At 45.6% G+C, this 27903-nt stretch overlaps 5 pseudogenes, besides 4 other annotated features; all 5 read right to left on the bottom strand.

Annotated features, from left to right (window-relative positions):
* PPIAP20 (peptidylprolyl isomerase A pseudogene 20) lies at window positions 5737–5871 on the bottom strand (annotated as a pseudogene).
* Window positions 5970–7751, bottom strand: MTATP6P27 (MT-ATP6 pseudogene 27; annotated as a pseudogene).
* On the bottom strand, window positions 8024–9095 carry MTCO2P27 (MT-CO2 pseudogene 27; annotated as a pseudogene).
* On the bottom strand, window positions 9110–9335 carry MTCO1P27 (MT-CO1 pseudogene 27; annotated as a pseudogene).
* MTND2P40 (MT-ND2 pseudogene 40) lies at window positions 9894–11325 on the bottom strand (annotated as a pseudogene).
* Window positions 17718–18597: an enhancer, noted in NCBI's record as "H3K27ac hESC enhancer chr19:12606217-12607096 (GRCh37/hg19 assembly coordinates)". NCBI's record gives its function as "activates a minimal SCP1, AML or CMV promoter by ChIP-STARR-seq in naive H9 embryonic stem cells {active_cell/tissue: H9 hESC(naive)}" and the evidence as "EXISTENCE:reporter gene assay evidence [ECO:0000049][PMID:30033119]".
* Window positions 18377–18456: an enhancer, noted in NCBI's record as "active region_14056". NCBI's record gives its function as "activates an Ori minimal core promoter by ATAC-STARR-seq in GM12878 lymphoblastoid cells {active_cell/tissue: GM12878}" and the evidence as "EXISTENCE:reporter gene assay evidence [ECO:0000049][PMID:35858748]".
* Window positions 18598–19478: an enhancer, noted in NCBI's record as "H3K27ac hESC enhancer chr19:12605336-12606216 (GRCh37/hg19 assembly coordinates)". NCBI's record gives its function as "activates a minimal SCP1, AML or CMV promoter by ChIP-STARR-seq in naive H9 embryonic stem cells {active_cell/tissue: H9 hESC(naive)}" and the evidence as "EXISTENCE:reporter gene assay evidence [ECO:0000049][PMID:30033119]".
* Window positions 18647–18696: a silencer, noted in NCBI's record as "silent region_10151". NCBI's record gives its function as "represses an Ori minimal core promoter by ATAC-STARR-seq in GM12878 lymphoblastoid cells {active_cell/tissue: GM12878}" and the evidence as "EXISTENCE:reporter gene assay evidence [ECO:0000049][PMID:35858748]".

The following is a 27903-nucleotide window of genomic DNA, read 5'->3' as shown; positions in this document are numbered from 1 at the left end:
AGCCACCTATTAGATGACTTCTGTGACGCAGGGGGTGGAGCCCGAATCTACCCAATCGGGGGCGCTGGGGCGAGCTCTGAACAGTCCAATGGGGTGTGCCGCCAGGATGCCTGGGCAACGGTCAACAGGTCAGCGGGGCAGGTCCTTTCTGCAGAGGACGCCACAGGTGGCGCCGCTGCAGTCCCTGTCTGCTGTGACCAGCTCTGACCAAAGGAGGCGTAGTAAGGAAGCCAGGACACCTGGAACCCGGGATACGGTGCGTGTGCGGGGCTTGGAGTCCCTAGACTTGGAGGAGGGGCTGGTTGGAATCCAGCAGGATCCAGCTGTGGAGGGACCCGGGCCTCCCCGCGGCGACTTCGGGATCTGGGACTTGAGTCCTCCTGGCGCAGCTCGTCCCTCGGTCCCCTCTGCCGCGGGGTGGGTCTGGGCCGGCAGCCGGGACCCCGGGCGTCCTATCGCGTCCGTCCGTGGCGACCGCAGCCCCGCGTTTCTCCAGATTGTGCGGGGTCACGGGAGGGTCATGGGGGGAATCCCGCCTCGGTTGTGGGGTTAGTGTGGGAGGAGCTGTGGTCTGTGGGATCCTCAGTCCCTCATCTTTCCCGGGGATACTGGTTTCTCTACAGGTCTTCTAAATGTATGGGAAGCAGGGTCCCAAAGACACGACCTCGGCCCTCATACAGGGGCTGGGAATAAATTCCTCCCTGCATTTCCAAAGGCCAGCTTTCCTCCAGTTCACAACTTTATCAGGTTTTTGTCCGTCATTCTACATTTCCAACAAACACAGTATTAGAATTGCTTGTTGGTTACAAAGCAATGGATGTGGATGGCTTTTTTTTTTTTTTTTTGAGACGGAGTCTCGCTCTGTCACCAGGCTGGAGTGCAGTGGTGCAATCTCAGCTCACTGCAACCTCCGCCTCCTGGGTTCAAGCGATTCTCCTGCCTCAGCTTCCCAAGAAGCTGGAATTACAGGCGCGCACCACCACGCCCAGCTAATTTTTTGTATTTTTAGTAGAGACTCGGTTTCATCATGTTGGCCGGGTTGGTGTCCATCTCTTCACCTCATGATCTGCCCACCTCGGCCTCACAAAGTGCTGGGATTACAGGCGTGAGCCACCACACCCAGCCAACTTTATCAGCTTTTTGTCCTTCATTCTACATTTCCAACAAACATAGTATTAGAATTGTTTATTCATTTTTCCCTACAAAGCAATGGATGGCTTTTTTTAAGAGATTTGTTTTCTCTTTGTGGACTTTTCCTCTGAGAGGAAAGCAGAGAGTAAGCACCTGGCGCTCTACCGTAAAAATACTTTGTGCCTCTCCTTTCATCTTCCCTAGGCACAGACACCTTATCAGAATGTCTTTGGGTTGAGGTTCCTTTTTGGAAACTTTACGCCGTGATGTGTCCTTAGCCCACCCTCTATCCTTCCCTGGTCTTAGATTTCAGAACTGCCTGGGGCAGACCCAAGATGCCCTCAGCTGCCAAGTCTCTTGCAGGATCTAGTGAATTATGAGCTCCTCGGTTATCTTCTCAGAGATAGGTTTGGGGCCTCTCAGGGGAGCAGCTGGATACCCTCGGCTGGAAAGAGTCTCCTGGTATCCCCCTCAAATAAATAGCCAACCCCTGGGGCACTCAGCTTTTCTTCGCCAACCCCAGTTTCCATTCCTTTGGGGATACTGGGGGTCACCCAATCAGATGCTGGTATTGAGGGGTATTGATTCTTGCCTTCTGGATTCTCTCAGACTACAGAAGGGAGAAAAACTATACCGAAGGACAAGAAAAAACCCACGCAGTCATGGCAGTGCAAGAAAACTGAAAAGCGAAATGCCATTTTGGGTACACGGGGGTGTACAATGCATTGTCTTATCTTGGGATGGTGATCATTGAGCACTTCATTGAGGGTGAGGGGGTGTCCCATGTGACAGGATGACCTGACCTGACACTTGAGTCAGACATTTCTGTGTTCTAAGTCAGCACTACCTCTCCCTGGGTTCGTCACCTTGAAGAGGTTTGTTCAGCCAGCCGCGGTGGCTCACGCCTGTAATCCCAGCACTTTGGGAGGCCGAGGCGGGAGGATCACCTGAAGTCGGGAGTTTGAGACCAGCCTGACCAACATGGAGAAACCCCCATCTCTACTAAAAATAAAAAATTAGCCAGGTGTCCGGTGGCGCATGCCTGTAATCCCAGCTACTTGGGAGGCTGAGGCAGGAGAATCGCTTGAACCCAGGCAGTGGAGGTTGCAGTGAGCCAAGAACGCGCCATTGCATTCCAGCCTGGGCAACAAGAGTGAAACTCCATCTCAAAAAAAAAAAAAAAGAAAGAAAGAATTAATCATTAGCTCACAGTCCCAGAGCTAATAAGTGGCAAATCCAGGATTTGATACCAGAATTTTTTGACTCTGGTAGAGATGGAGTTTCCTTCATGTTGGTCAGGCTGGTCTGGAACTCCCCATCCGCCTCGGCCTCTCAAAGTGCTGGGATTACAGGCGTGAGCCACTGCACCTGGCTGGGAGCTTATTAGTCTTTGTTCCCCAATACTTAGACTGGTACCTGGCACATAGTAGATACCCCAATAAAAGCTTGTCGAATAGAGAAAAAAAATGAGTACCCTTCAGTGGAGAGCAGAGGCCTTAGGCCAGTGACTCCAAGCTAAGGCCAATCTTGAGCCTGTAAGGGGAGGTCACCGAAGGCCCATTTAGTTCTTCCTGGCGAGACTATGCTGCAGGTTTCCTAGGGGATCCATAGGCAGATGCGGTTGGGGGTGGGATCTGTTGCCCCTTCTGTGGTTGTAGTTGTTATTGCCCTGGGGCTGTTTCTAGACACCCTCAAGTAAAATCCAGATTTAGGTAAGTAGTGACCTTATTTGAATGAAGTATTGTAGTGATAGGAGGAAAGCACCAAGTATAATATTTGAAAGCATCTCAAAGGTTAGGTAAAGTTTTCTTTCATAGGGAGGAGCAAGCTAGATTAGTAATAAAGTGAGAGAGAGAGAGGGCAGGATGGAGGGGAGCAAAATCAGATGCTAGATTAGAGAATATTTGATCCTAAGGTCAGCCTGTTCTTAGGAGGGGTCATAAAGGTGGGGTTGGGTGCTTGCTCAGGCTACTGAAGGTGGGTGGAAGTTCAGGGGCCTGGAAGAAAGAAAGAAACTTAACCAAAGTGTGGGTTCACTGGTATTTTGTTTCAACTGATCAGTGAAGATAAAACTGTTCAGCTAATTGTTCATGAGGCAAAGAATGGGAATTTGGAGAGTGTGTGTCTGGCCTTATACATAGGTAGACAGGGACATCATCTAAGTTGTAATGGGAAGGGTGTTATTTTGTAGTAGCCTGCTTCTCTAGATCACAGAAGATGGTGGTAGTGGTGGGGTTTCCGTTACCTACAGAACTAAGGTAAAATTCAACATGGTCAGCAGTTTGGTTTTCCATCCGCAGAGTTGATTTAGTCAGAGTGTAATTTGTGCAAAATGAGAACATCTGTAAGAGTCAGACACCTTTGGGTTCTGTCTGCTAAAGAAAAGGTTTATGAATTTAAGAGTTTATTTGCGGCCGGGCGTGGTGGCTCATGCGTGTAATCCCAGCACTTTGGGAGGCCGAGGCAGGTGGATCACCTGAGGTCAGGAGTTTGAGACTAACCTGGCCAACATGATGAAACCCCATCTCTACTAAAAATACAAAAAATTAGCAGGACATGGTGGCAGGCACCTGTAGTCCCAGCTACTGGGGAGGCTGAGGCAGGAGAATCGCTTGAACCTGGGAGGCGGATGGAGGTTGCTGTGAGCCAAGATTGCACCATTGCAATCCAGCCTGGGCAACAATAGCAAAACTCTGTCTAAAAAAAAAAAAAAAAAAAAAAAGGCCGGGCGTGGTGGCTCACGCCTGTAATCCCAGCACTTTGGGAGGCTGAGGCGGGTGGATCATGAGGTCAGAGGTCAGGAGATCGAGACCATCCTGGCTAACACGGTGAAACCCCGTCTCTACTAAAAATACAAAAAATTAGCCAGGTGTGGTGGCGGGCGCCTGTGGTCGCAGCTACTAGGGAGGCTGAGGTAGGAGAATGGTGTGAACCTGGGAGGTGGAGCTTGCAGTGAGCCGAGATCGTGCCACTGCACTCCAGCCTGGGCAACAGAGCGAGACTCCGTCTCAAAAAAAAAAAAAAAAGAAAAAAGGTGGAAGCTGTAAGGAATGTGCACACTCCTTGTAGGGAGTAAGCAAGAGATTGATCTTTGAGCTAAAGTCTTTTTGGGGGCCTTGCCCCAATCAGGTATATCTCTTGGAGTTCTGAGCCACTCGGGCAGAGCAGCTTCACACTCATTTTCTTTACAGAATATTGCTGCCATATAATTATAGTTTGCTGAAGCATTCAAGAATTTTATTCCATGATTTGAGTGTAAGAGTTTTATTGTCTTGGTTGACAATCTGGTTGGATTGAGTCATAAGGTCTGAAGAAGCAAAGAGAATTCTGGAAATAAAATACTTATGCTTAGTTTAAATAATAATATAGGCCAGGTGCAGTGGCTCACGCCTGTAATCCCAGCACTTTGGGAGGCTGAGGCTGGTGGATCACGAGGTCAGGAGTTTGAGACCAGCCTGGCCAACATAGAGAAACCCCGTCTTTACTAAAAATACAGAAAATTAGCTGGGCGTGGTGGTGGGCGCCTGTAATCCCAGCTACTCGGGAGTCTGAGACATGAGAATCGCTTGAACCTGGGAGGCAGAGGTTGCAGTGAGCCGAGATCGCACCACTGCACTCCAGCCTGGGTGACAGAGCGAGACTCCGTCTCAAAAAAAAAAAAAAAGAAATTATAACATAAACACCCACGGACTCACCACCCAGCTAAATAGGCTGTTGGCAGCACTGGTATGTCACCCTGATCTCACCTCCCTTCTGCACCCAGAGGTGACCATGATGGTGATTTGTTGTTGTTGTTATTCTTTATAGATTTACCATCTATTTACCATAAAGTAGAGTTTTGGCTATTTTGAGTTTTCAGCAAGTTAGTATTACTATTACAATTAATGTTATGCTGAAAGTTTTTTTTTGTGGTTTTTTTGCCTCAGTCTGTTGCACATACATTACTGTCTGAGGCTTCATTCTATTGCTTGTGGACTAATGTTGTTTCAAGTTTATTTTTTGATCCTGGTGACAATGTCATTCTTATTTATGTCTCCAAGTGCTAAATTATAAATTTTTTACATATTGGGAAAAAATTACTGAGTTGTATATTATGGATAAATTCATATTTAGTAGGAAATACTGATGGAGTATATCAATTAACCATTTGACCACTCATGCATGTGTGTTTATTCCTTGCAATTTGCCAATGCTTGGAATTATCTAACTTATTTATTTGTGCTCCTTGAGTGTTAAACACAGTCTCTGTGTAATTATATGTTGCTTTTTACTGGTTACCATTGCTGTTGAACATTTTTCCTATGTGGTCTTTTATCTTCCATGAAATGGTTTTCAGGCATTTTTTATGTTTAATTTGTTTCCATGTTTATCGTATTCTTTCTTTACCTTTTTTTGTTATTTAGTTTTTATTTCATAATCATAAATTTAACTCTGCAATCCAGCTAGGCATGGAAGGGAATAAGGAAAACATGGAACCTAAAGGGAACTGTAGCAAGAGCACAAAGATTCTAGGATACTGCAAGCAAATGGAGTGGAGGGGTTCTTTCCTGAGCTACAGAAGGAATGGTCTGGTGGGTGGTTAAGATAAAACACAAGCCAAACTTATTAGAGTTGTCCACAGTGAGCAATGGTGATCTTTTTGCTGGTCTTGCCATTCTTGGACCCAAAACACTCCACGGCCTCCACAATATTCATGCCTTCTTTCACCTTGCCAAAGACCACATGCTTGCCATCCAACCACTAAGTCTGGGTAGTGGATGTTATTAGTGCTAAGAGAGCCCCTGTTAATGGCCAAGGGCTAGGATTTACTAGATGGTACGCATGGGTTTGCTGGGTCATTAAGTATTGTCTTGTAGATAGAGGCTCACTAGTAGTGTAAAAACATATGCTTGGATTAAAGCTATGACGAATTCAAAAATGGTTAATATAATCAAGATGTAAATCTGACTGAGGCTGTGGGTAGGTTGATTGATGTTAATACTGTGTGGCGCCTCCAATTAAATGAACAAGCAGAGGGCCAGCTGTAATACTGGCTGTTAGTCACACAGCTAAGGCTATTGGTTGAATGAAGAGGCTGGTGGTTTCTATAATTAGTAGTACGGCAATAAGTAAAATAGGTGTTTTCTGTGGTAGAAAATGGGCTAGGGATGCTTTTGTTTTGTGGTGCAAGCCAGTAATTACTGCTCCTGCTCATAGTGGAATAGCCATACCTAAGTTTATTGACAGTTGAGTAGTTGGTGTGAATGAGTGAGGTAAGAGCCCTAGTAAATTTGTTGAAACAAGAAGATCAGTGAAATTAGTATAAGGGAGCAGGTTCGGCTGGGCATGGTGGCTCACACCTGTAATCCCAGCACTCTGGGAGGCTGAGGTGGGCAGATGCCTTGAGGTTGAGGCTGCAGTGAGCCATGGTGATGCAACTGCACTCCAGCCTGGGTGACAGAGCAAGACTCTGTCTCAAAAAAAAAAACAAAAACCGGGGGTGGGGGCCGGGCGCAGTGGCTCACACCTGTAATCCCAGCACTTTGGGAGGCTGAGGCGGGCGGATCACAAGGTCAGGAGTTTGAGACCAGCCTGACCAACATGGTGAAACCCTGTCTTTACTAAAAATATAAAAATTAGCCAGGTGTGGTGGTGCAAACCTGTAATCCCAGGTACTCAGGAGGCTGAAGCAGGAGAACCTCTTGAACCCTGGAGGCAGAGGTTGCGATGAGCCGAGATCATGCCACTGCACTCCAGCCTGAGCGACAGAGCAAGACTCCATCTCAAAAAAACAAAAACAAAAACAACAACAAAAAAACAAGGGGATCAGATTTGTCCTTTGATATTATGTATTATCATAATTTATTTTAGTATAAGTTGAATTATTAATAGTCACTATTGTATAGAAATTAGCCAGTTTTTTTTTTTTTCTTTTTTTTCTTTTTTTTTTTTTTTTGAGATGGAGTCTCGCTCTGTCACCCAGGCTGGAGTGCAGTGGCGCGATCTCGGCTCATTGCAACCTCCACCCCCCAGGTTCAAGCGATTCTCCTGCCTCAGCCTCCCGAGTAGCTGGGATTACAGGCACGCTGTAATTTTTGTATTTTTAGTAGAGATGGGGTTTCACCATCTTGGCCAGGCTGGTCTTGAACTCCTGACCTCATGATCCACCTGCCTCGGCCTCCCAAAGTGCTGGGATTACAGGCGTGAGCCAACGCGTCTGGGCAGAAATTAGCCAGTTGTTAATCAGATGGCTAGGTGATGGAAATATTTGGAAACAGGATAATTAGAATAACTACAGGAAGTCTGGGCGTGGTGACTCATGCCTGTAATCCCAGCACTTTGGGAGGCCAAGGCAGGTGGATCACCTGAAGTCAGGAGTTCTAGTCCAGCCTGGCCAACATGGTGAAATCCCGTCTTTACTAAAAGATACAAAAAATTAGCCGAGTGTAGTGGTGGGTGCCTGTAATCCCAGTTACTCGGGAGGCTGAGGCACCCGAAGGGCAGAGGTTGCAGTAAGTTGAGATCACGACATTGCACTCCAGCCTGGGCAACAAGAGCAAGACTCAGCCTCAAAAAAAAAGAAAAAAAGAATAACTACAGGCAGTTCTACTATTGTTGGGGTAATGAAAGAGATGTTCATTTTATTTCTTAAGGGGTTTCATGTTTCTATATTTCAAAAGCTTTTAGTGTTGAGTTTGTTGGGTAGATGAATTTTGAAATTTTTAATTGAAATGGTGATAGGATTATGGATATGATAGTAATAAATCGTGTGGATGTGTCTAGTTGGGGCACTTCGTTGTGGAAAGATCATAACTCAGTCTTTAACTTAAAAGGTTAGTACTGATTAGCTCTACAGTGATATTATAATATAGATGCTGACCAGTTTCGAAGTGTTTTAGGGGTACTAAACAAGTTCAAGAACAATGGGTATGAAGCTATGATTAGATCCACAGATTTCCGAGCACTGACTGTAGAAAGGCCTGATTGTGTAAATGTCAGGATTGCTTGGTTTAAACATCCTGGCATTGCATCTGTTTAGGCCTAATGATGGTAAGGTTCATGAACGTAGGATGTCTTTCGACGAACTTAATATTTGAATTGATGTTTCTACGGGGAAGGCTACTTGATTGTCAAATTCAAGTAGCTGCAGCTCTCCTGGTTTTAAGTCTGTTGTAGGAAATCTGTAGGAGTCAAAATTTAGGTCTTCATACTTTGTATATTCATAGCTTCAGTATCATCTATATATATACATATATTTTTTCAAGACAGAGTCTCACTCTGTTGCCAAGGCTGGAATGCAGTGGCACGATCTCGGCTCACTGCAAGCTCCGCCTCCCAGGTTCACGCCATTCTCCTGCCTCAGCCTCCCGAGTAGCTGGGACTACAGGCACCCACCACCACGCCTCGCTAATTTTTTGTATATTTAGTAGAGACGGGGTTTCACTGTGTTAGCCAGGATGGTCTCGATCTCCTGATCTCATGATCCACCCGCCTCGGCCTCCCAAAGTGCTGGGATTACAGGCGTGAGCCACCACGCCCGGCCTTTTTGTTGTTGTTGTTGTTGTTGGGACAGACTCTTACTCTGTCGCCCAGGCTAGAGTGCAATGGAACAATCTCGGCTCACTGCAACTTCCGCCTCCTGGGTTCAAGCGATTCTCCTGCCTCAGCCTCCCAAGTAGCTAGAATTACAGGCCCTGCCACTACGCCCGGCTAATTTTTTGTATTTTTAATAGAGATGGGGTTTCACCACGTTGGCCAGGCTGGTCTCGAACTCCCGACCTCAGGTGATCCGCACACCTCGGCCTCCCAAAGTGCTGGGATTACAGGCATGAGCCACCGCGCCTGGCCAGTATCATCTATAGTTTCTATGGTTAGGGAGGGGTTATTAATTTCATGTTGTATACAGAATATATAACGATGGAAGAGCAATTAAAATAAAGATAATAGGTAGAATAGTTCATACTGCCTCTACTTCTTGGGCATCTATAGCAGTAGATCCTACTGACAGGACATAATGGAAATGTATTACAACATAATATGTATCATGTGGAATGATATCTAGCGATAGTATGATTCCAGTTAAACCTCCCACTGTGAATTGGAAAATGAAGCCTAGTGCTCAGAGTATGGCAGCGGATCATTTAATATTGCCTCCAGGTACTGTTGTTAGTCAACTAAAGACCTTACTATCTGCAGGGATGGCAATAATTATGGTGGTAGATGTAGATCTGATCCTCCCGCCTCAGCCTCCTGAGTAGCTGGGACTGTAGGTGTGTGCCACCATGCCTGGCTAATTTTTGTATTTTTTGTAGAGATGGGGTTTTGTCATGTTGGCCAGGCTGGTCACGAACTCCTGACCTCAAGTGATCTGCCCGCCTTGGCCTCCCAAAGTGTTGGGATTACAGGCGTGAGCCACTGTGCCCAGCCTAATTTAACCTAAATTTCTAGTTTATTGTTGAAAGTATTGGTGAGGGCCAGGCATAGTGGCTCATGCCTATAATCTCAGCACTTTGGGAGGCTGAGGCGGGCAGATCACTTGAGGTCGGGAGTTCGAGCTTAGCCCTGCCAACATGGTGAAACCCCATCTCTACTAAAAATACAAAAATTAGCCAGGCATGGTGGCACATGCCTGCAATCCCAGCTACTCGAGAGGCTGAGGAGGGAAGATCACTTGAATCTGGGAGGCAGAGGTTACAGTGAACCGAGGTCACACCCCTGCACTCCAGCCTGGGTAACTGAGCAAGACTTCATCTCAAAAAAGAAAAAAAACAAAAAAGAGAAAGTATTGGTGAGAGTAAGAGTGGTAGGAATAGGGTCCATACAGTAATGAGTGGTGATAAAAAGAGGGCTTGCTTTATAGTTTCTTCTTCTTTTTTTTTTTTTTTTTTTTTTTTTTGTGACAGGGTCTCGCTCTGTTTCCCAGGCTGGAGTGCAGTGGTGTGGCTTCCTGAGTAGCTGGGACTACAGGACCATTCCACCACACTTGGCTAATTTTTTAATTTTTTGTAGAGATGGGGTCTCTGTTGCCCAGACTGGTCTCAAACTCCCGGGCTCAAGCAGTCCTCCTGCTTCAGCGTCCTAAAGTGTTGGGATTAGAGGTGTGAGCCACCACACCTGGCCTTATATTTTCAAATTGTCATTTTATTTTTATGTTATTAGTTGTTGGGAATATCACTAGTGATGTGGAGTAAATTAGGCGTATGTAGAAACATTGATTAAATAGCGCTGTGACAGCTCTATGTGTGGGTATAATAAGGCTATTTTGTTGTTAATTCTTGAATGATAACTCCTTTGGGTATAAATCCTGTAAGGGGGGTTAGTCCCAGTAGGGAAAATTGATAAGAATTGTGGAAGTAGTAGTGGTAACTTATTTCATATATAATGTAGTGATAATGTTATAGTACTTGTACTTAGATTAAATAATATAAATACTGTAATTGTTAGGGTTATGTAAATCCATAGATTTAGGATTGTGATAGAAGGGTTGTAGGCTAAAATTGTGATTATTCAGCCTATAGGAGCAACTGATGAGTAGGCCAAGATATTTCGGAGTTGTGTTTGGTTAAGTCGGCCTCAGCCCTCTTCGGGACAGATAGTGCTGCAATTGCCAGTAGCATATTTAGGTCTATTAAGGGTAGACTTGAAATATGATGGAGACTGGTGCTAGTTTTTGTTATGTAAGGAGGATTATTTATACCTGATGTTAATGAGATCCCTTGTGTTACTTCTGGGATTCAGAAATAGAACGGGGCACAGGGCGCAGTGGTTCACGCCTGTATTCCCAGCACTTTGGGATGCTGAGGCTGGCAGATCACTTGAGGTTAGGAGTTCCAGACCAGCCTGGCCAACATGGTGAAACCCTGTCTCTACTAAAAATACAAAAATTAGCTGGACGTGGTGTCAGGCTCCTGTAATCCCAGCTACTTGGGAGGCAGAGACAGGAGAATCGCTTGAACCCGGAGGCAGAGGTTGCAGTGAGCCAAGATCGCTCCATGCCACTGCACTCCAGCCTGGGCAACAGAGGAAGATTCCATGTCAAAAAGAAAAAAAACGAAGTAGAAGGGGCTATTCCTAATTTTATCACAAGAGCTATGGTAACTGTTAGGAATGCTGCTTGGGTTAGTATTTTTGTGGTTTTCATTGTCCAGAGTACATTATATTGATAATAACAGCTATGATTAGAATTGTAGATGTGGTTGCTTGTGAAAGGAAGTATTGGTTCAATCTAAATACACAGATAGGTCCTGGCCAAGACATGCACTCAGGAGAGCTTTCAGGAGGGATTCAATCCCAAACTCCTGCTCCCAAATGCCAAGGAACTATCCAAACTGCCAACTCAAGTCAGCGGAATGTAGAACCCAGGCCCGGCAGGGCTCACCATGCAACACAGAGCAGCACACTCAGAGCACCAGCTCCTCCAGCCAGCAGCGCTCACCCCACATGCCAGCCACCACCTGGCAGAGCGAGTTAGTAATTCCAACAAGAGAACACAGACTGATAAGGTGATAAAAGTCTAGGCATCCTGTGCACGGCACCAGTTGCCATGGTCACCCCAGAGGTGCAGTTCCAATGTTGACAGCGATGCCAGTGTGGTTATGGTGCACACATGCTGAGAGGGTATGAAAAGGTTTAATTACTAAGATGATTGAGGTCTCTGAGAAAAGCAGGCCAGGCCCCTCAAGCAGGCAAAATGGCTTGAGAGAGTAAGGAAAGGAGCCTGGACTGGGTGTTTACTGTGATTGGGGGTGGGGCAGTAGGAGAGTTCATTTCCCCTCGAGGGGAAAAGCTTCTTAGGTGGGACTCTCCAGCAAGGCCCAAGGAGGGAACGCCTCAGCTTTCTCAGCTTGTCCAGGTATTGTAAACAAAAAATAAAATCCAAAGCACCCTCCTGACTGAACAGACCCCTTCTTGGCCAAGGGAACCCCATAACAACCCTAAACACTGAATTCCCAGGCCAGGCGCAGTGGCTCACACCTGTAATCCCAGCATTTTGGGACTGAGGATGGCTTGAGGCCAGGAGTTTGAGAACAGCCTGGGCAACACAGTGAGACCCCATCTCCACAAAGAAAGTAAAAATTAACTGGGCATGGTGGCATGCACCTGTAGTCCCAGCTACTCAGGAGGCTGAGGTAGGAGGATAGCTTGAGCCCAGGAGTTCAAGGCTGCAATAAGCTATAATATGACTGTGCCACTGCACTCCAGCCTGGTTAACAGAGTGAGACCCTGTCTTGAAAGAACAAAAACAATAAAAACTGAATTCCCAGCCATGGGAAGGGAGGTCGGACACACCCTGTTATAACCCCTCCCTTTTGGAGTTTAGGCACAACTGACCAGCATTAATGTTAAAATAGAGACCATAAAACTAACAAAACTCTTTATGACAATAAGATACCAAATTATAAATAAGACCTAAGGCCATGCTCTCCAAGGGTTAAGTCACAAACTCTAGGTCATTCCGACCCAGTGTATTGGTTAACAGATTTTCTTATCTTTTTTTTTTTTTTTTTGAGACAGGGTCTCTTGCTTTGTCACCCAGGCTGGAGTACAGTGACATAATCACTGCTCACCACAGCTTGGACCTCCCAGGCTCAAGTGATCCATGTAGTGGGGAATATAGGCATATGCTGCCACACCCAGCTAATCGTTTTTACTTTTTTTTTTTTTTTTTTTTTTTGAGATGGAGTCTCACTCTGTCGCCCAGGCTAGAGTGCAGTGGTGCAGTCTTGGCTCACTGCAAGCTCCACCTCCCAGGTTTACGCCATTCTCCTGCCTCAGCCTCCTGCGTAGCTGGGACTACAGGCGCCCGCCACCACGTCCAGCTAATTTTTTGTATTTTTAGTAGAGACGGGGTTTCACCGTGTTAGCCAGGATGGTCTCGATCTCCTGACCTCATGATCCGCCCTCCTCGGCCTCCCAACGTGCTGGGATTACAGGCGTGAGCTGCTGCGCCCGACCTCATTTTTACTTTTTTTTTTAGATGGAGTCTCGTTCTGTCACCCAGGCTGGAGTGCAGTGGCGCAATCTCAGCTTACTGCAACCTCCACCTCCCGGGCTCAAGGGATTCTTCTGCCTCAGCCTCCCAAATAGTTGGGACCACAGGCACACACACCACACCTAGCTAATTTTTGTATTTTTAGTAGAGACAGGGTTTCACCATGTTGGCCAGGATGGTCTTGAACTCCTGGCCTCAAGTAATCCACCTGCCTTGGGCTCCCAGAGTGTTGGGATTACAGGCATAAGCCACTGTCCCCAGCCTAATGCAATCTGTGTGCCACAGCCTCCCAAAGTGCTGGGATTATAGGCTCCTGAGCCCAGCTGTCTTCCTTAAACATTCCTTTTTTTTTTTTGAGACAAAGTTTCGCTCTTATTGCCCAGGCTGGAGTGCGATGGCATGATCTCACCACAACCTCCGCCTCCCAGGTTCAAGTGATTCTCCTGCCTCAGCTTCCCGAGTAGCTGGGATTACAGGCGCCACCACCACGCTTGGCTAATTTTATATTTTTAGTAGAGACAGGGTTTCTCCATGTTGGCCAGGCTGGTCTCGAACTCCTGACCTCAGGTGATCCACCCGCCTCGGCCTCCCATAGTGCTGCGATTACAGGCATAAGCCACCGCGCCCGGCCCAAACATTCATTCTTATCTAATGACTCCAAATGTTTACTCCTTTAGCCAACTGTAAATCAAAGAACCTCTGAGTCTACCTATAACCTGTAAGCCCCCGCTTCAAGATATTCTACCTTTTCAGGCCAAATCAATGCCTACCTTCCATGTACTGATTTATGTCTGCCTGCAACTCCTGTCTTTCTAAAATGCATAAAACCAAACTGTAGCTGGGTGCTGTGGCTCGTGCCTGTAATCCCAGCACTTTGGAAGGCTGAGGCCAGCAGATCACTTGAGGCCAGGAGTTCAAGACCAGCCTGGCCAACAGGGCAAAACCCCATCTCTACTAAAAATACAAAAAATTTAGCCAGGCATGGTGACGCAGGCCTGTAATCCCAGCTACTTAGGAGGCTGAGGCACAACAATTGCTTGAACCTGGGAGGCTGAGGTTGCAGTGAGCTGAGATTGTGCCACTGCACTCCAGCCTGGGCGACAGAGTGAGACCCTGTCTCAAAAATACCAAATAACTGTAACCTGGCTGCCACTGGTGCACTTTCTCAGGACTTCTTGAGACTGCGTTTTCTGGGCCGTGGTCACTCATACTGACTCAGAATAAAGCCTTAAAATATTTGAGAGTTTGGTGATTCCATTGACAGTGGGCAGCTGTTAGAAAGAAGAGGGGGGTTGACACTGAATCTGCCAACAGTCAAATACCAGAAAGGGTGGAGTCCAACTACTCATTACAAGAGCAAACATGGATAAGAAAAACATGCATTTGCAATTGCTTGTTTTTGTTGTTGTTGTTGTGTGAGACGGAGTTTCACTCTTGTTGCCCAGGCTGGAGTGCAATAGCGTAATCTCAGCTTACCACAACCTCAGTCTCCTGGGTTCTAGTGATTCTCCTGCCTCAGCCTCCCGAGTAGCTGGGACTACAGGCGCCCGCCTCCTGAGTAGCTGGGACTACAGGCACCCGCCACCACGCTCAGCTAATTTTGTATTTTTAGTAGAGACAAGGGTTCTCCATGTTGGTCAGGCTGGTCTCGAACTCCAGACCTCAGGTAATCCGCCTGCCTCGGCCTCCCAAAGTGCTGGGAATACAGGTGTGAGCCACCGCGCCTGGCCTGCAATTGCTTGTTTTAATAAAGAAACACTAATAGGATGCACAAGGAATTACCAAAAGTTTTTACGAAGGGCGGGGTGGCTGGAGCAAGAATCCTGGAATGAACCAGGATATGCTTGACAGTGAGTCTTATGTTAGATTTTCCTGTCTCATAGATTTTTTTTTTTAACCTTCACATGTATTATCTCTCTAAAATGAATGGAGGCCTGGTGCAGTGGCTCACACTTGTAATCCCAGCACTTTGGGAGGCCGAGCTAGGAGGATCACTTGAACTCAAGAGTTCAAGACCAGCCCGGGCAACCCTGCCGGTTGGTGAAACCCTGCCTCTACAAAAAATACAAAAATTAGCCAGGCATGGTGGTATGTGCCTGTAGTTCCAGCTACTCAGGAGGCTGAGTTGGGAGGATCACTTGAGCAGGGGAGGCTGAGGCTGCAGTGAGCTATGATCGATCGTGCCACTGTACTCCATCCTGGGTGACAGAGCAAGACCCTGTCTAAAAATATACATTAAAAAGGCCGGGCACGGTGGCTCACGCCTGTAATCCCAGCACTTTGGGAGGCCGAGGCAGGCAGATCACCTGAGGTCAGGAGTTCGAGACCAGCCTGACCAACATGGAGAAACCCCATCTCTACTAAAAATACAAAAAGATTAGCTGGGCATGGTGGCACATGCCTGTAATCCCAGCTACTCGGGAGGCTGAGGCAGGAGAATCACTTGAACCTGGGAGGTGGAGGTTGCTGTGAGCCAAGATTGTGCCATTGCACTCCAGCCTGGGCAACAAGAGTAAAACTCCGTCTCAAAAAAAATAAAAAATAAAAAAATAAAATGAACGAAGATATTTATCTGCACTATATTTTACTATTAAAGTCTTTAAATAATGTAGTTTTTTTTAAATTTTAAGTTGTCTTCATTAAGATTTAATCCTTTATACACTTTTAAAAGTGTAAACTATACGAAATGTAAAATTTCAAATCTTAAGAGAATCTGCATCATAGCATGTCTGTCCACTGTATCTCACACTGAGGGGTATTTTCAGGAAAGAGTAGCATATTATAGATTGGGCGCGGTGGCTCACGCCTGTAATCCCAGCACTTTGGGAGGCCGAGGCGGGCGGATCGCGAGGTCAGGAGATCGAGACCATCCTGGCTAACATGGTGAAACCCCAGCTCTACTAAAAATACAAAAAAATTAGCCAGGCGTGGTGATGGGCACCTGTAGTCCCAGCTACTCGGGAGGCTGAGGCAGGAGAATGGCGTGAACCCGGGAGGTGGAGCTTGCAGTGAGCCGAGATGGCGCCACTGCACTCCAGCCTGGGCAACAGAGCAAGACTCAGTCTCAAAAAAAGAGTAGCATATTATAATACATTAGGGTTTGGATATAACCATTAAATGTAGTAGAATTTTTCAAAGATTACACAAGCTTTGAGGAGTAGTTTTCCTCGTATCAATTAAAACAGGAATCCATTTGCCCTGGGAATAGTAGAGCCTTTGAAGTTTGAAAGTTTTCTAGGGATATGCACACACACAAACTAATGTAAAAATAAAAATGCACCTGAGAAGTTAAACATATCCATCTCACACCATGAGCTTCTTTTGCCTGAAAGGAATAAAAATTCTATTTGGTTCCAGGATTTGCTTCTCTTACATCATATTTCTCAATCAACTTAAATTTTCAAAGACCAACAAACTAAAAATCCTACAGACTCATACAGGGAATAAAATTACAAAATGTTAAAGGAAACTGGAGTTAAAGTGCTGCAATATTCAATAGAAAAAGGAATCCAAAGGAAAGAAACACAAACATTGAATCAGCTCAGATAAGCAGCCTGCTTCTCCGCAATTCAGAAGAAAAACCAACATCCAGAAGGTTAAACACATACCAAAGCTTGGAGTCCACACTCTCTCCCTGTTAGGGTATAGTCCCTAGAGTGGAATAGTCCCTGGTGACAGCAGGGACACCTGAGCAGCCACAGGAATGAACTCCGGGAGCAGAGAATGCCCCTTCCCACTGGTTCTCGTAAGTGACGAAACTGTCAGCTGGATTCAGATGAAGGTTCTGACACAAATGAACTCCCAAAGTCATTAACACCATGTCCAGGAGACAGAACTTGTAACTTTCACAGACTTTTTCAATATGGAAAAATTACACCACGAGTGTACCCTAATGTGAAAGCAAAACTCAAACCTAATGTCTAAAAGTAGACCCAAGGAAACTACAATTACAACCTAGACAATTAAAACCCTCCCGGTTCTCCTAAAACCGCGTGCGGTTCCCAGCATTCCAGTGCTCTGTAGCTTCTCTCTGTATAAAGAGCTCTTTCCTTGGTGGGTGAGAGCAAGTAGGACACTTTTGGGGAAGGCTCCCCAGGAAGACCCATCTGGGCTTTCAATGACCTCCCTTTGCAGGCTCAAGAGTGGTCTTAGCTTGAAGTCACTAGTCTCTGGCTGCTGCTCCCCAGTCATGGGGCTTTCAACCGCTATTGATGTTTATTTTTTTGAGACAGGGTCTCCCTCTGTCACCCAGGCTGTAGCGCAGTGGCGAGATCATAGCTCACCGCAGCCTCGACCTCCAGGGCTTGGGCTTAAGTGAGCCTCCCACCTCAGCCCCCTGAGTAGCTGGGACTACAAGCACAGGCCATCATGCAGCTAATTTTTGTATTTTTAGTAGAGACGAGGGTTTCACCATGTTCGCCAGGCTGGTCTCGAACTCCTGACCTCAAATGATCCACCCACCTCGGCCTCCCAAAGTGCTGGGATTACAGGCGTGAGCCATCACGCCCAGTTGAAAGACGGGAACTTTCAAAGTTGCTTTTCTGGTAAAAGTTAAAGCAGAGGGGACTTTCTTTATCATGTTGGCTAAAACTGGCCTGTTGGGGATTTGACCAGCATCTCTTTCTCTCCTGATAATTTGTAAGGTCAGATAAACAACTTAGTTTCAGCTTGGTAGCGAGGAACGTCCCCGTGGGTAACTCATTTTGGTTTGGTCTGTTGGGTCTAGTGCAGGAGCTCAGTCTAAACCAATGGCTTCCTACAAATTGTATTTAACAGGGCAAATAATAATATTATGAATTGGAGAGGGAAAGCTTCATTTGGAATGAAAGAAGGAATTGGCAAATTTAGGGATTTCCTGTCAGTCCTAGGAAGAGCTAGGCTGGAAAACGGGGTCGTGGATTTGAGATCCTGTTTTCACACGTTTGTAAAATTAAGGGGCAAACCGGTCCCCCTGGGGAAAAAGAAGAGACTGGGGACCCCACGGACCACCGCTCCTCCCACGCACGAACGCCACACTCGAGCCGGGATTCCTTCTCTCCTATGACCCTCCCGTGATCCCCACACAATCTTGGAAGACGCGGGGCTACGGGCATGGAGCTGCCCACACAGGGCTCCGGGACCCGGGCCTCAGTAGCCGCGCGGGGACAGGACAGGACTCCCGGGATCCTGGCTGCCGGCCCAGCTTCACTCTGCGGCGGGAGGAGGCCGAGGGCCGAGCTACGCCAGGGGGACTCGGGTTCACAGACCCAGGAGTGGCCGCGGGCAGGCCCGGTTCCCGCGACAGCCGGTTCCGGCCAGCAGCTCTTCAGGTCTCGGGATTCCAGGCCCCGCACAGTCACCATTTCCGGGCTTCCGCGGTGTCCCCACCCCCTAACTACGACTCCCTCTGCCAGTGCGGGTCCCAGAGCGACAGAGGCTGCGGCAGAGCCACCTAGCGACGTTCGAGGCAGGAGAGACACAAACTGGAAATCGCGCCACCGTATCCACGCGCCTTTGTACAGGGCGGCCCCACCCACCGCTCCGGCGGCGTCTCCAATTGGACAGTTTGTGAGGTTCCACCCCCTGTTGCCTGAGTCACATCTCAGACGGAGGTCAGGTAGCTGAGCGATCCAGCTTCCACTTTTGTCCCTGAAACTGTCCTGCCAGAGACATTTGCATTATACCAGAACTTTATATGCTAGATATAAAGGCCCTCAGACCGGACACTGGCGTTTACCGAAGAAGCTTCTGAACGGGGACATAGGTGTGCGCGCAGGGAATGCCAGACAAGAGTTTCCAGATAAAGCGAACCCCTTGATGACTGACTCTTTGAGGAGTAAATCCACAGCAAAAGGGCCCTGGAGGCAAGGCCATACTGGATCAGGAGAGTCAGATATTCTCCAGAGGACAGTGGCTTGGCATCATGCTGCCAGGACACTCAGAACTGTGACCCCGTAGGTTCACAGAGACCAGGCAATGTTTACATTTTTAATTTTAAGTTTTGTTGTGGGTACATAGTAGGTGTATATATTTATGAGTTACATGAGATATTTTGATGTAAGCATGCAATGCCTAATAATCACATCATGGTAAATGGGGAATCCATCAACTCAAGCATTTATCCTTTGTGTTACAAACAAGCCGATTATACTCTTTTAGTTATTTAAAAATGTGCAACCAAATTATTTTTTACTATAATCACCCTGTTATGCTAGCAAATACTAGGTCTCATTCATTCTATTTTTTGTGGCCATTAACCATCTTCACTTCCCCTTCCCCCAACCCCCGCACTACCCTTTCCAGCCTCTGGTAACCATCCTTCTACTCTCTATCTCCATGAGGTCAATTGTTTTAATTTTTTGCTCCCAAAAATAAGTGAGAACATGTGAAGTTTGTCTTTCTGTGCCTGGCTTATTTCGCTTAACATAATGACCTCTAATTCCATCCAAATTGTTGCAAATGACAGGATCTCATTCTTTTTTATGGCTGAATAGTACTCCATTGTGTATTTGGAACATTTTTTTTTTAATCCATTCATCTGTTGAGGGACAGTTAGGTTGCTTCTAAATCTTGGGGATTGTGAATAATGCTGCAATAAACATAGGAGTGCAGATATCTCTCTTCAATACATGGATTTCCTTTCTTTGGGGTATTTACCTAAAAGTGGGGTTGCTGGATCAAATGGCAGCTCTATTTTTATTTTTTTTGTGTGTGTGGAACCTCCAAACTGTTCTCTATAGTGGTTGTACTAATTTACATTCCCACCAACAGTGTACAAAGGTTCCCTTTTCTCCACATCCTCTCCAGCATTTGTTACTGCCTGACTTTTGGATAAAAGCCATTTTAACAGGGGTGAGATGATATCTCATTGTATAATAGTTTTGATTTGCATTTCTCTGATGATCAGTGATGTTGGCCTTTTCATATAACGGTTTGCCATTTGCATGCCTTCTTTTGAGAAATGTCTTTTCAGATTTTTTGCCTATTTTTAATCCGATTATTAGATTTTTTTTTTTTTTTTTTTTTTTTTTTTTTTTTTTGAGACGGAGTCTCGCTCTGTCGCCCAGGCTGGAGTGCAGTGGTGTGATCTTGGCTCACTGCAAGCTCTGCCTCCTGGGTTCACGCCATTCTCCTGCCTCAGCCTCCTGAGTAGCTGGGACTACAGGCACCCGCCACCACGCCCAGCTAATTTTTTTTTTTTTTGTATTTTTAGAAGAGACGGGGTTTCACCGTGTTAGCCAGGATGGTCTCGATCCCCTGACCTCGTGATCCGCCTGTCTTGGCCTCCCAAAGTGCTTGGGATTACAGGCGTGAGCCACTGCGCCCGGCCTATTAGATTTTTTCTATAGATTTTTTTGGAGCTCCTTATATATTCTGGGGTTTTTTTTTATTTTGTTTTTGTTTCTGTTTTTTTGAGATGGAGTTTTGCTCTTGTTGCCCAGGCTGTAGTGCAATGGTGCGATCTCAGCTCACCGCAACCTCCGCCTCGCGGGTTCAAGCAATTCTCCTGCTTCAGCCTCCCCAGTAGCTGGAATTGCAGGCATGTGCCATCATGCCCCGCTAATTTTGTATTTTTAGTAGAGATGGGGTTTCTCCATGTTGGTCAGGCTGGTCTCAAACTCCTGACCACGTGATCCGCCCGCCTCGGCCTATCAAAGTGCTGGGATTACAGGCGTGAGCCACTGCGCCCGGTCTATATTCTGGTTATTAATTCCTTGTCAGATGGGTAGTCTGCAAATATTTTCTCCCATTCTGTAGCTTGTCTTTTCACTTTGTTGTACAGAAGCTCTTTACTTAATGTGACCCCTTTATCTATTTTTGCTTTGGTTGCCTGTGCTTGTAGGGTATTACTCAAGAAATCTTTGCCCACTCCAATGTTCTGGAGAATTTCCCTATATTTTCTTTTAGTAGTTTCATAGTTTAAGGTCTTAGATTTGAGTCTTTAACTGATTTTGATTTGATTTTTGTATATGGTGAGAGAGAGAGGTCTGTTTCATTATTTTGCATATGGTTATCCAGTTTTCCCAGTCTCTTTATCGAAGAGACTGTCCTTTTCCCAATGTATGTTCTTGGCACCTTTGTCAAAAATGAGTTCACCATAGATGTATGGATTTATCTCTGGCGTCTCTATTCAGTTCCACTGATCTTTGTGTCTGTTTTTATTCCACTACCATGCCATTATGGTTACTGTAGCTCTAAAGTTAGATAATATGATTTATAGTCATATTTAAATAATTTAAAGTCAGGTAATATGATTCCTCCAGTTTTGTACTTTTTGCTTAGGATAGCTTTGGCTATTCTGGGTCTTCTTTGGTTCCATATACATCTTAGGATGTTTTTTTCTATTTGTGTGAAGAGTGTCATTGGTATCTTGATTGGGATTGCATTAAATCTCTAGATTTCTTTGGTTAGTATGGACATTTTAACAATAGTGATTCTAGGCCGGGCGCGGTGACTCGCCTATAATCCCAGCACTTTGGGAGGCCGAAGCGGGCGGATCACGAGGTCAGGAGATCGAGACCATCCTGGCTAACACGGTGAAACCCCGTCTCTACTAAAAATACAAAAAATTAGCCGGGCGAGGTGGCGGGCGCCTGTGGTCCCAGCTACTTGGGAGGCTGAGGCAGGAGAATGGCGTGAACCCCGGGGGGCAGAGCCTGCAGTGAGCCGAGATCGCGCCACTGCACTCCAGCCTGGGCGACAGAGCAAGACTCCGTCTCAAAAAAAAAAAAAAAAAAAAAATAGTGATTCTTCCAATGCATGAACATGAGTATCTTTTCATTTTTTTGTCCTCTTCAATTTCTTGCATCAATGTCTTATAGTTTTCATTGTAGGTATTGTTCACTTCTTTGGGTAAGTTAATTCCTAGGTATTTAATTGTAGCTATTATAAATGGGATTACTTTATTGACTTCTTTTTTAGATTGTTTGCTGTTGGCATATAGAAATGCTACTGATTTTTGTATGTTGATTTTGTATCCTGGAACTTTACTGAATTGGGTTATCATTTCTAATAGTTTTTCGGTGGAGTCTTTTTTTTTTTTTTTTTTTTTGAGACAGAGTCTCACTCTGTCGCCCAGGCTGAAGTGCAGTGGTACGATCTCAGCTCACTGCAACCTCACCTCCTGGGTTCAAGCGATTCTTCTGCCTCAGCCTCCTGAGTAGCTGGGAGTACAGGTGCATGCCACCATGACCAGCTAATTTTTGTATTTTTGGTAGAGACAGGGTTTCACCATATTGGCCAGGCTGGTCTCAAACTCCTGACCTCGTGATCCACCTGCCTCGGCCTCCCAAAGTGCTGGTTGGTGGAGTCTTTAGTTTTTTCCAGATATAGGATTATAATATTTGCAAATTCAACAACACATTAAAAATGTAATGCATCGTGACCAAGTGGGATTTATCCCAGGGGTGCAGGGTTGGTTCAACATATTGATAGTGTTCTATGAAGCACAAAAGCTATTACTTTTATGAGGCCCAAATTATGTGTGTGTGTGTATATATATGTGTGTGTGTGTATTCTATTGCACACACACATCAATTTTTGCTTTTGCTGTCATATGTAAGAATTCTTTTTTCCTTTTGTTTTTTGAATAGAGACGAGGGTCTCACTATGTGGCCCAGGCTGGTCTCAAACTCCTGACCTCAAGTGATCTTCCCACTTTGGCCTCCCAAAGTACTGGGATTACACGCATGAGCCACCACACTTGGCTGCATATGTAAGGATTCTTTTTTATTTTTTGAGATGGAGTCTCACTCTGTCATCCGGGCTAGAGTGAAGTGGCATGATCTCAGTTCACTGCAACCTCCACCCCCCCGGGTTCAAGTGTTTCTCCTGCCTCAGCCTCCTGAGTAGCTGGGATTACAGGCATGCACCACTATGCCAGGCTAATTTTTTGTATTTTTAGTACAGATGGGGTTTCACCACGTTGGCCAGACTGGTCTCAAACTCCTGACCACAGGCTGTCCGGCCCCCTCGGCCTCCCAGAGTGCTGGGAAAACAAGCATGAGACACTGCACCCGGCCTGCATATGTAAGAATTCTTTGCCAGATCCAAGATTATCAATATTTCCCACCTTTTTTTCCTAGGATTATTATAATTTCACCTCTTATGTTTTGGTCTGTGATCTATTTCAGTGAATTACCATATATTGGGTGATGTAGGGGTCCAACTTCATTCTTTTGCATGTGGCTATCCAGTTGTCTCAGCACCAATTTATGAAAACAATAGTCTTTGCATATTCTTGGCAGCATTTTGAAAGTCATTTGAGTATATATATATATATATATACATATATATATATATGTATGTATATATATATATGTATGTATATATATATATGAGTTTATTTCTGGGATTTCAATTCTATTCCATTGATCTCATCTATTTGACATTATAATTTTGCATTTACTGGAGACTGAATGACACAAATTGTAATCAGAAAACCATGGAGTTCTTCCCAGTTTGGAGAAAGGTAACAGTCATCTGCATAGTGCAAACCATCTCAGGTTTTTCCGATGAACAGGGTGATATCTAGCCAAATCCACAGTGATTTCCCAGTTGACAAATCCAAAAGAACTATGGATGTTTAGAGGGCAATTATCCAAGTTAGAATTGCAGCAAGCTACAGACAGAGGGTATTATTTTGATTTTCATCCCAATTTAGTTAAAAATAAGGTATATGTCTGGCGGCGGTGGCTCACGCCTGTAATCCTAGCACTTTGGGAGGCTGAGGCTGGTGATTGCCTGGGCTGAGGAGTTTGAGACCAGCCTGGGCAACATGGTGAAACCCCGTCTCTACTAAAATACAAAAGAAATTAGCTGGATGTGGCGGTGTGCACCTGTAGTCCCAGCTGCTTGGGAGGCTGAGGCAGGAGAATTGCTTGAACCCAGGAGACGGAGGTTGCAGTGAGCCGAGTTTGCCACTGCACTCCAGCCTAGGCGACAGAGCGAGACTCTGTCTCTACCAAAAAAAAAAAAAGTATATTTGACATTTTCAATCTTTAATGCTTTTTTAAACAAGAGAAGTAGCTGGGTAATTTTTGTTTCAATGATCCACAAAGACCCAAAAGCCCATGAAACTGTCCGCAGGTATCATTTCCATATGGTAGACCTCCAGCACACGTTAGGGAAGATGGAAAAAAAAAAAGTTAACAGCTTTGTGTTTTACTAGAGAGCAATTAAAACCTAATTTTTGTCCAACATTTCAATGACATATATGCATCTCACTATATGTCATTGGAAATTAATGTGATATAATCATTAGTATTTCATTTGACTAGCCCCATCCAACCATACGTCCTATCTTATGAATGAAAAATTTGAAGTATAGGGAGCACAAGGTCTTGCCTACATTCCTATAGCCCACAGTGCTAATGGAATCTCTCCGTCTTTTTTTTTTTTAGATGGAATCTCACTCTGTCACCCAGGCTGGAGTGCAGTGGCGTGATCTCGGCTCACTGCAACCTCCGCTTCCCAGGTTCAAGCGGTTCTCCTGCCTCAGCCTCCCGAGTAGCTGAGACTACAGGTGCACACAACTGTGCCCAGTTAATTTTTTTGTATTTTTGGTAGAGACAGGGTTTCACCATGTTGGCCAGGCTGGTCTTAAACTCCTGAATAGAGACGCCAGAGATAAATCCATACATCTATGGTGAACTCATTTTTGACAAAGGTGCCAAGAACATACATTGGGAAAAGGACAGTCTCTTCAATAAAGAGACTGGGAAAACTGGATAACCATATGCAAAATAATGAAACAGACCTCTCTCTCACCATATACAAAAATCAAATCAAAATCAGTTAAAGACTCAAATCTAAGACCTTAAACTATGAAACTACTAAAAGAAAATATAGGGAAATTCTCCAGAACATTGGAGTGGGCAAAGATTTCTTGAGTAATACCCTACAAGCACAGGCAACCAAAGCAAAAATAGATAAAGGGGTCACATTAAGTAAAGAGCTTCTGTACAACAAAGTGAAAAGACAAGCTACAGAATGGGAGAAAATATTTGCAGACTACCCATCTGACAAGGAATTAATAACCAGAATATAGACCGGGCGCAGTGGCTCACGCCTGTAATCCCAGCATTTTGGTAGGCCGAGGCGGGCGGATCACGTGGTCAGGAGTTTGAGACCAGCCTGACCAACATGGAGAAACCCCATCTCTACTAAAAATACAAAATTGCACATGCCTGCAATTCCAGCTACTGGGGAGGCTGAAGCAAAGTGCTGGGATTACAGGCATGAGCCATCGTGCCCAGCCCCGTAATCTCTCAGTTTTGAAGTTCGAATGTGTGCCACCACCTGTACTGGGCACTGTCAAAAATAGAAAACTTGGCAGGGCACTGTGGTTCACACCCGTAATCCTAGCACTTTGAGAGGCTGAAGCGGGCGGATCACCTGAGGTCGGGAGTTTGAGACCAGGTTCACCAACATGGAGAAACCCCGTTTCTACTAAAAATACAAAATTAGCCGGGTGTGATGGTGCATGCTTGTAATCCCAGCTACTCGGGAGGCTGAAGCCGGAGAATTGCTTGAACCCAGGAGGCGGAGGTTGTGGTGAGCTGAGATGGCGCCACTGCACTCCAGCTGGGGCAACAAGAGTGAAATTCTGTCTCAAAAAAAAAAAAAAACAAAAAAACTCAGAACACTGCAGGTACTGTATCAATGTTTACAAATAAGTCGTCAAATTTGAAAACAGGACTAATAAGACTACTTTGTGTTCCATTTATATGACATTCTGAAAAAGGCAAAGGTATAAAATTGTAAAAGAGAATAGTGGTTAAGAGTGGAGGAGTGGGCCGGGCGTGGTGGCTCACGCCTGTAATCCCAGCACTTTGGGAGGCCAAGGGGGGGCGGATCACAAGGTCAGGAGATCGAGACCATCCTGGCTAACACAGTGAAACCCCAGCTCTGCTAAAAATACAAAAAAAATTAGCCGGGTGTGGTGACAGGCGCCTGTAGTCCCAGCTACTCGGGAGGCTGAGGCAGGAGAATGGCGTGAACCTATGATCAGGAGTTCGAGACCAGCCTGGCCAACATGGTGAAACCCGGTCTCTACTAAAAATACAAAAATTAGCTGGAGTGGTGACGGACACCTGTAGTCCCCAGCTACTCAGGAGGCTGAGGCAGGAGAATCGCTTGAACTCAGGAGGTGGAGTTTGCAGTGAGCTGAGATTTCGCCACTGCAGTCCAGCCTGGGTGACAGGGTGAGAGTCTGTTTCAAAAAAGAAGTGAAAATCAATTGGGAAGAGATCTAGGAATTTAATCAAGATATAGTGTAGACTGTAGGCCTACTGTTTTTCAGGAGATAACTGGAGAATAAGATTTTTCGGGCCAGGCGTGGTGGCCCAGGCCTGTAATCCCAGCACTTTGGGAGGCCGAGGTGGGCGGATCACCTGAGGTCAGGAGTTCAAGTCCAGCCTGGCCAACATGGTGAAACCCTGTCTCTATAAAGAATACAAAAAAATTAGCTGGGCATGGTGGCAGGTGCCTGTAATCCCAGCTACTCGGGAAGCTGAGCCAGGAGAATCACTTGTACCTGGGAGGCAGAGGTTGCAGTGAGCCGAGACTGTGCCACTGCACTCCAGCCTAGGCAACAAGAGTGAAACTCCGTCTCAAAAAAAAAAAAAAAAAAAAAAAGATTTTTTGGGGGAGGGAGGGGGATCTGCAGGTGTCATATCAAAATAGAAATTATTTCTTTAAGCTGGGCATGCTAGTGCACACCTGTAGTCCCACTTACTTGGGAGGCTGAAGCAGTCCAGCCTGGGTAACATAACAAGATTACATCTTAAAAAAACAAAAACAGAAAACAGAAAAATGAACAGAGCCTGAGAAATATGCAGGACACTATTTAGTTGACCAATATGTGTGTAATAGAATTTCCCAAAGGAGAGGAGAAGAGTCTGGCAGCTCTTCAAAGATTAAAGATAGAATTACCATGTAACCCATCGATTCCATTCCTAAGTGTATTCCCAAGACAAATGAAATCCTATGTCTACAGAAAAACTTGTACATGGATGTTTATAGCAACCTTATTAATAACAACTAAAAGGTGGATACAAACCAAATGCCTATTAATGGATGAATGGATAAACAAAATGGGCTATATTGGTACAATGAAATATTGTTTTACTGTAAACAACAAATGAAGTATTGATACAAACTTCAATGTAAATGTCCCTTGAAACAGTTATGCTAAGTGAATGAAGTTAATCTCACAAAGAACACATAGTATATGATTCCATTCCAAGTCTACAATGGGAAAGCTATATAGCAACTGAAAGTAAATTAATGGTTGCTTAGGACAGAGGCTTGGAGGAGGAAGATGGGAAGATAGGACAGTGACAGCCAAAGGCTACAGGGGTTTCCTTTTTTTTTCCTTCCTTCCTTCCTTCTTTCCTTCCTTCCCTCCTTCCCTCCTTCCCTCCTTCCCTCCTTCCCTCCTTCCCTCCTTCCTTCCTTCCCTCCCTCCCTTCCTTCCTTCCTTCCTTCTGACAGGGTCTCACTCTGTCACCCAGGCTGGAATGCAGGATCACAGTTGACTGTAGCCTTGACCTCCTGGGTTCAAACAATCCTCGGGCCTCAGCCTCCCCAGTAGCTGGGACTACAGGTGTGCACCACCATGCCCTGCTAATTTTTAAAAAATTTTCTTAGAGATGGGGGAGGGGGGGGCCTCACTATGTTGCCCAGGCTGATCTCAAACTCCTGGGCTCAAGCAGCCCTCCCACCTAAGTTTCCTAAAGTGCTGGAACTACAGGTGTGAGCCATCATGCCCTGCCCATTAGTAGGTTTGATCCAATATCTTAAGTATATTGAGTTTCCTA

The sequence above is a fragment of the Homo sapiens genome, chromosome 19 (assembly GCF_000001405.40).
Source record: "Homo sapiens chromosome 19, GRCh38.p14 Primary Assembly".
Classification (NCBI taxonomy): domain Eukaryota; kingdom Metazoa; phylum Chordata; class Mammalia; order Primates; family Hominidae; genus Homo; species Homo sapiens.
Note: the sequence above shows the minus strand (reverse complement) of the source record. Positions and strands in the feature narration are given on the sequence as shown.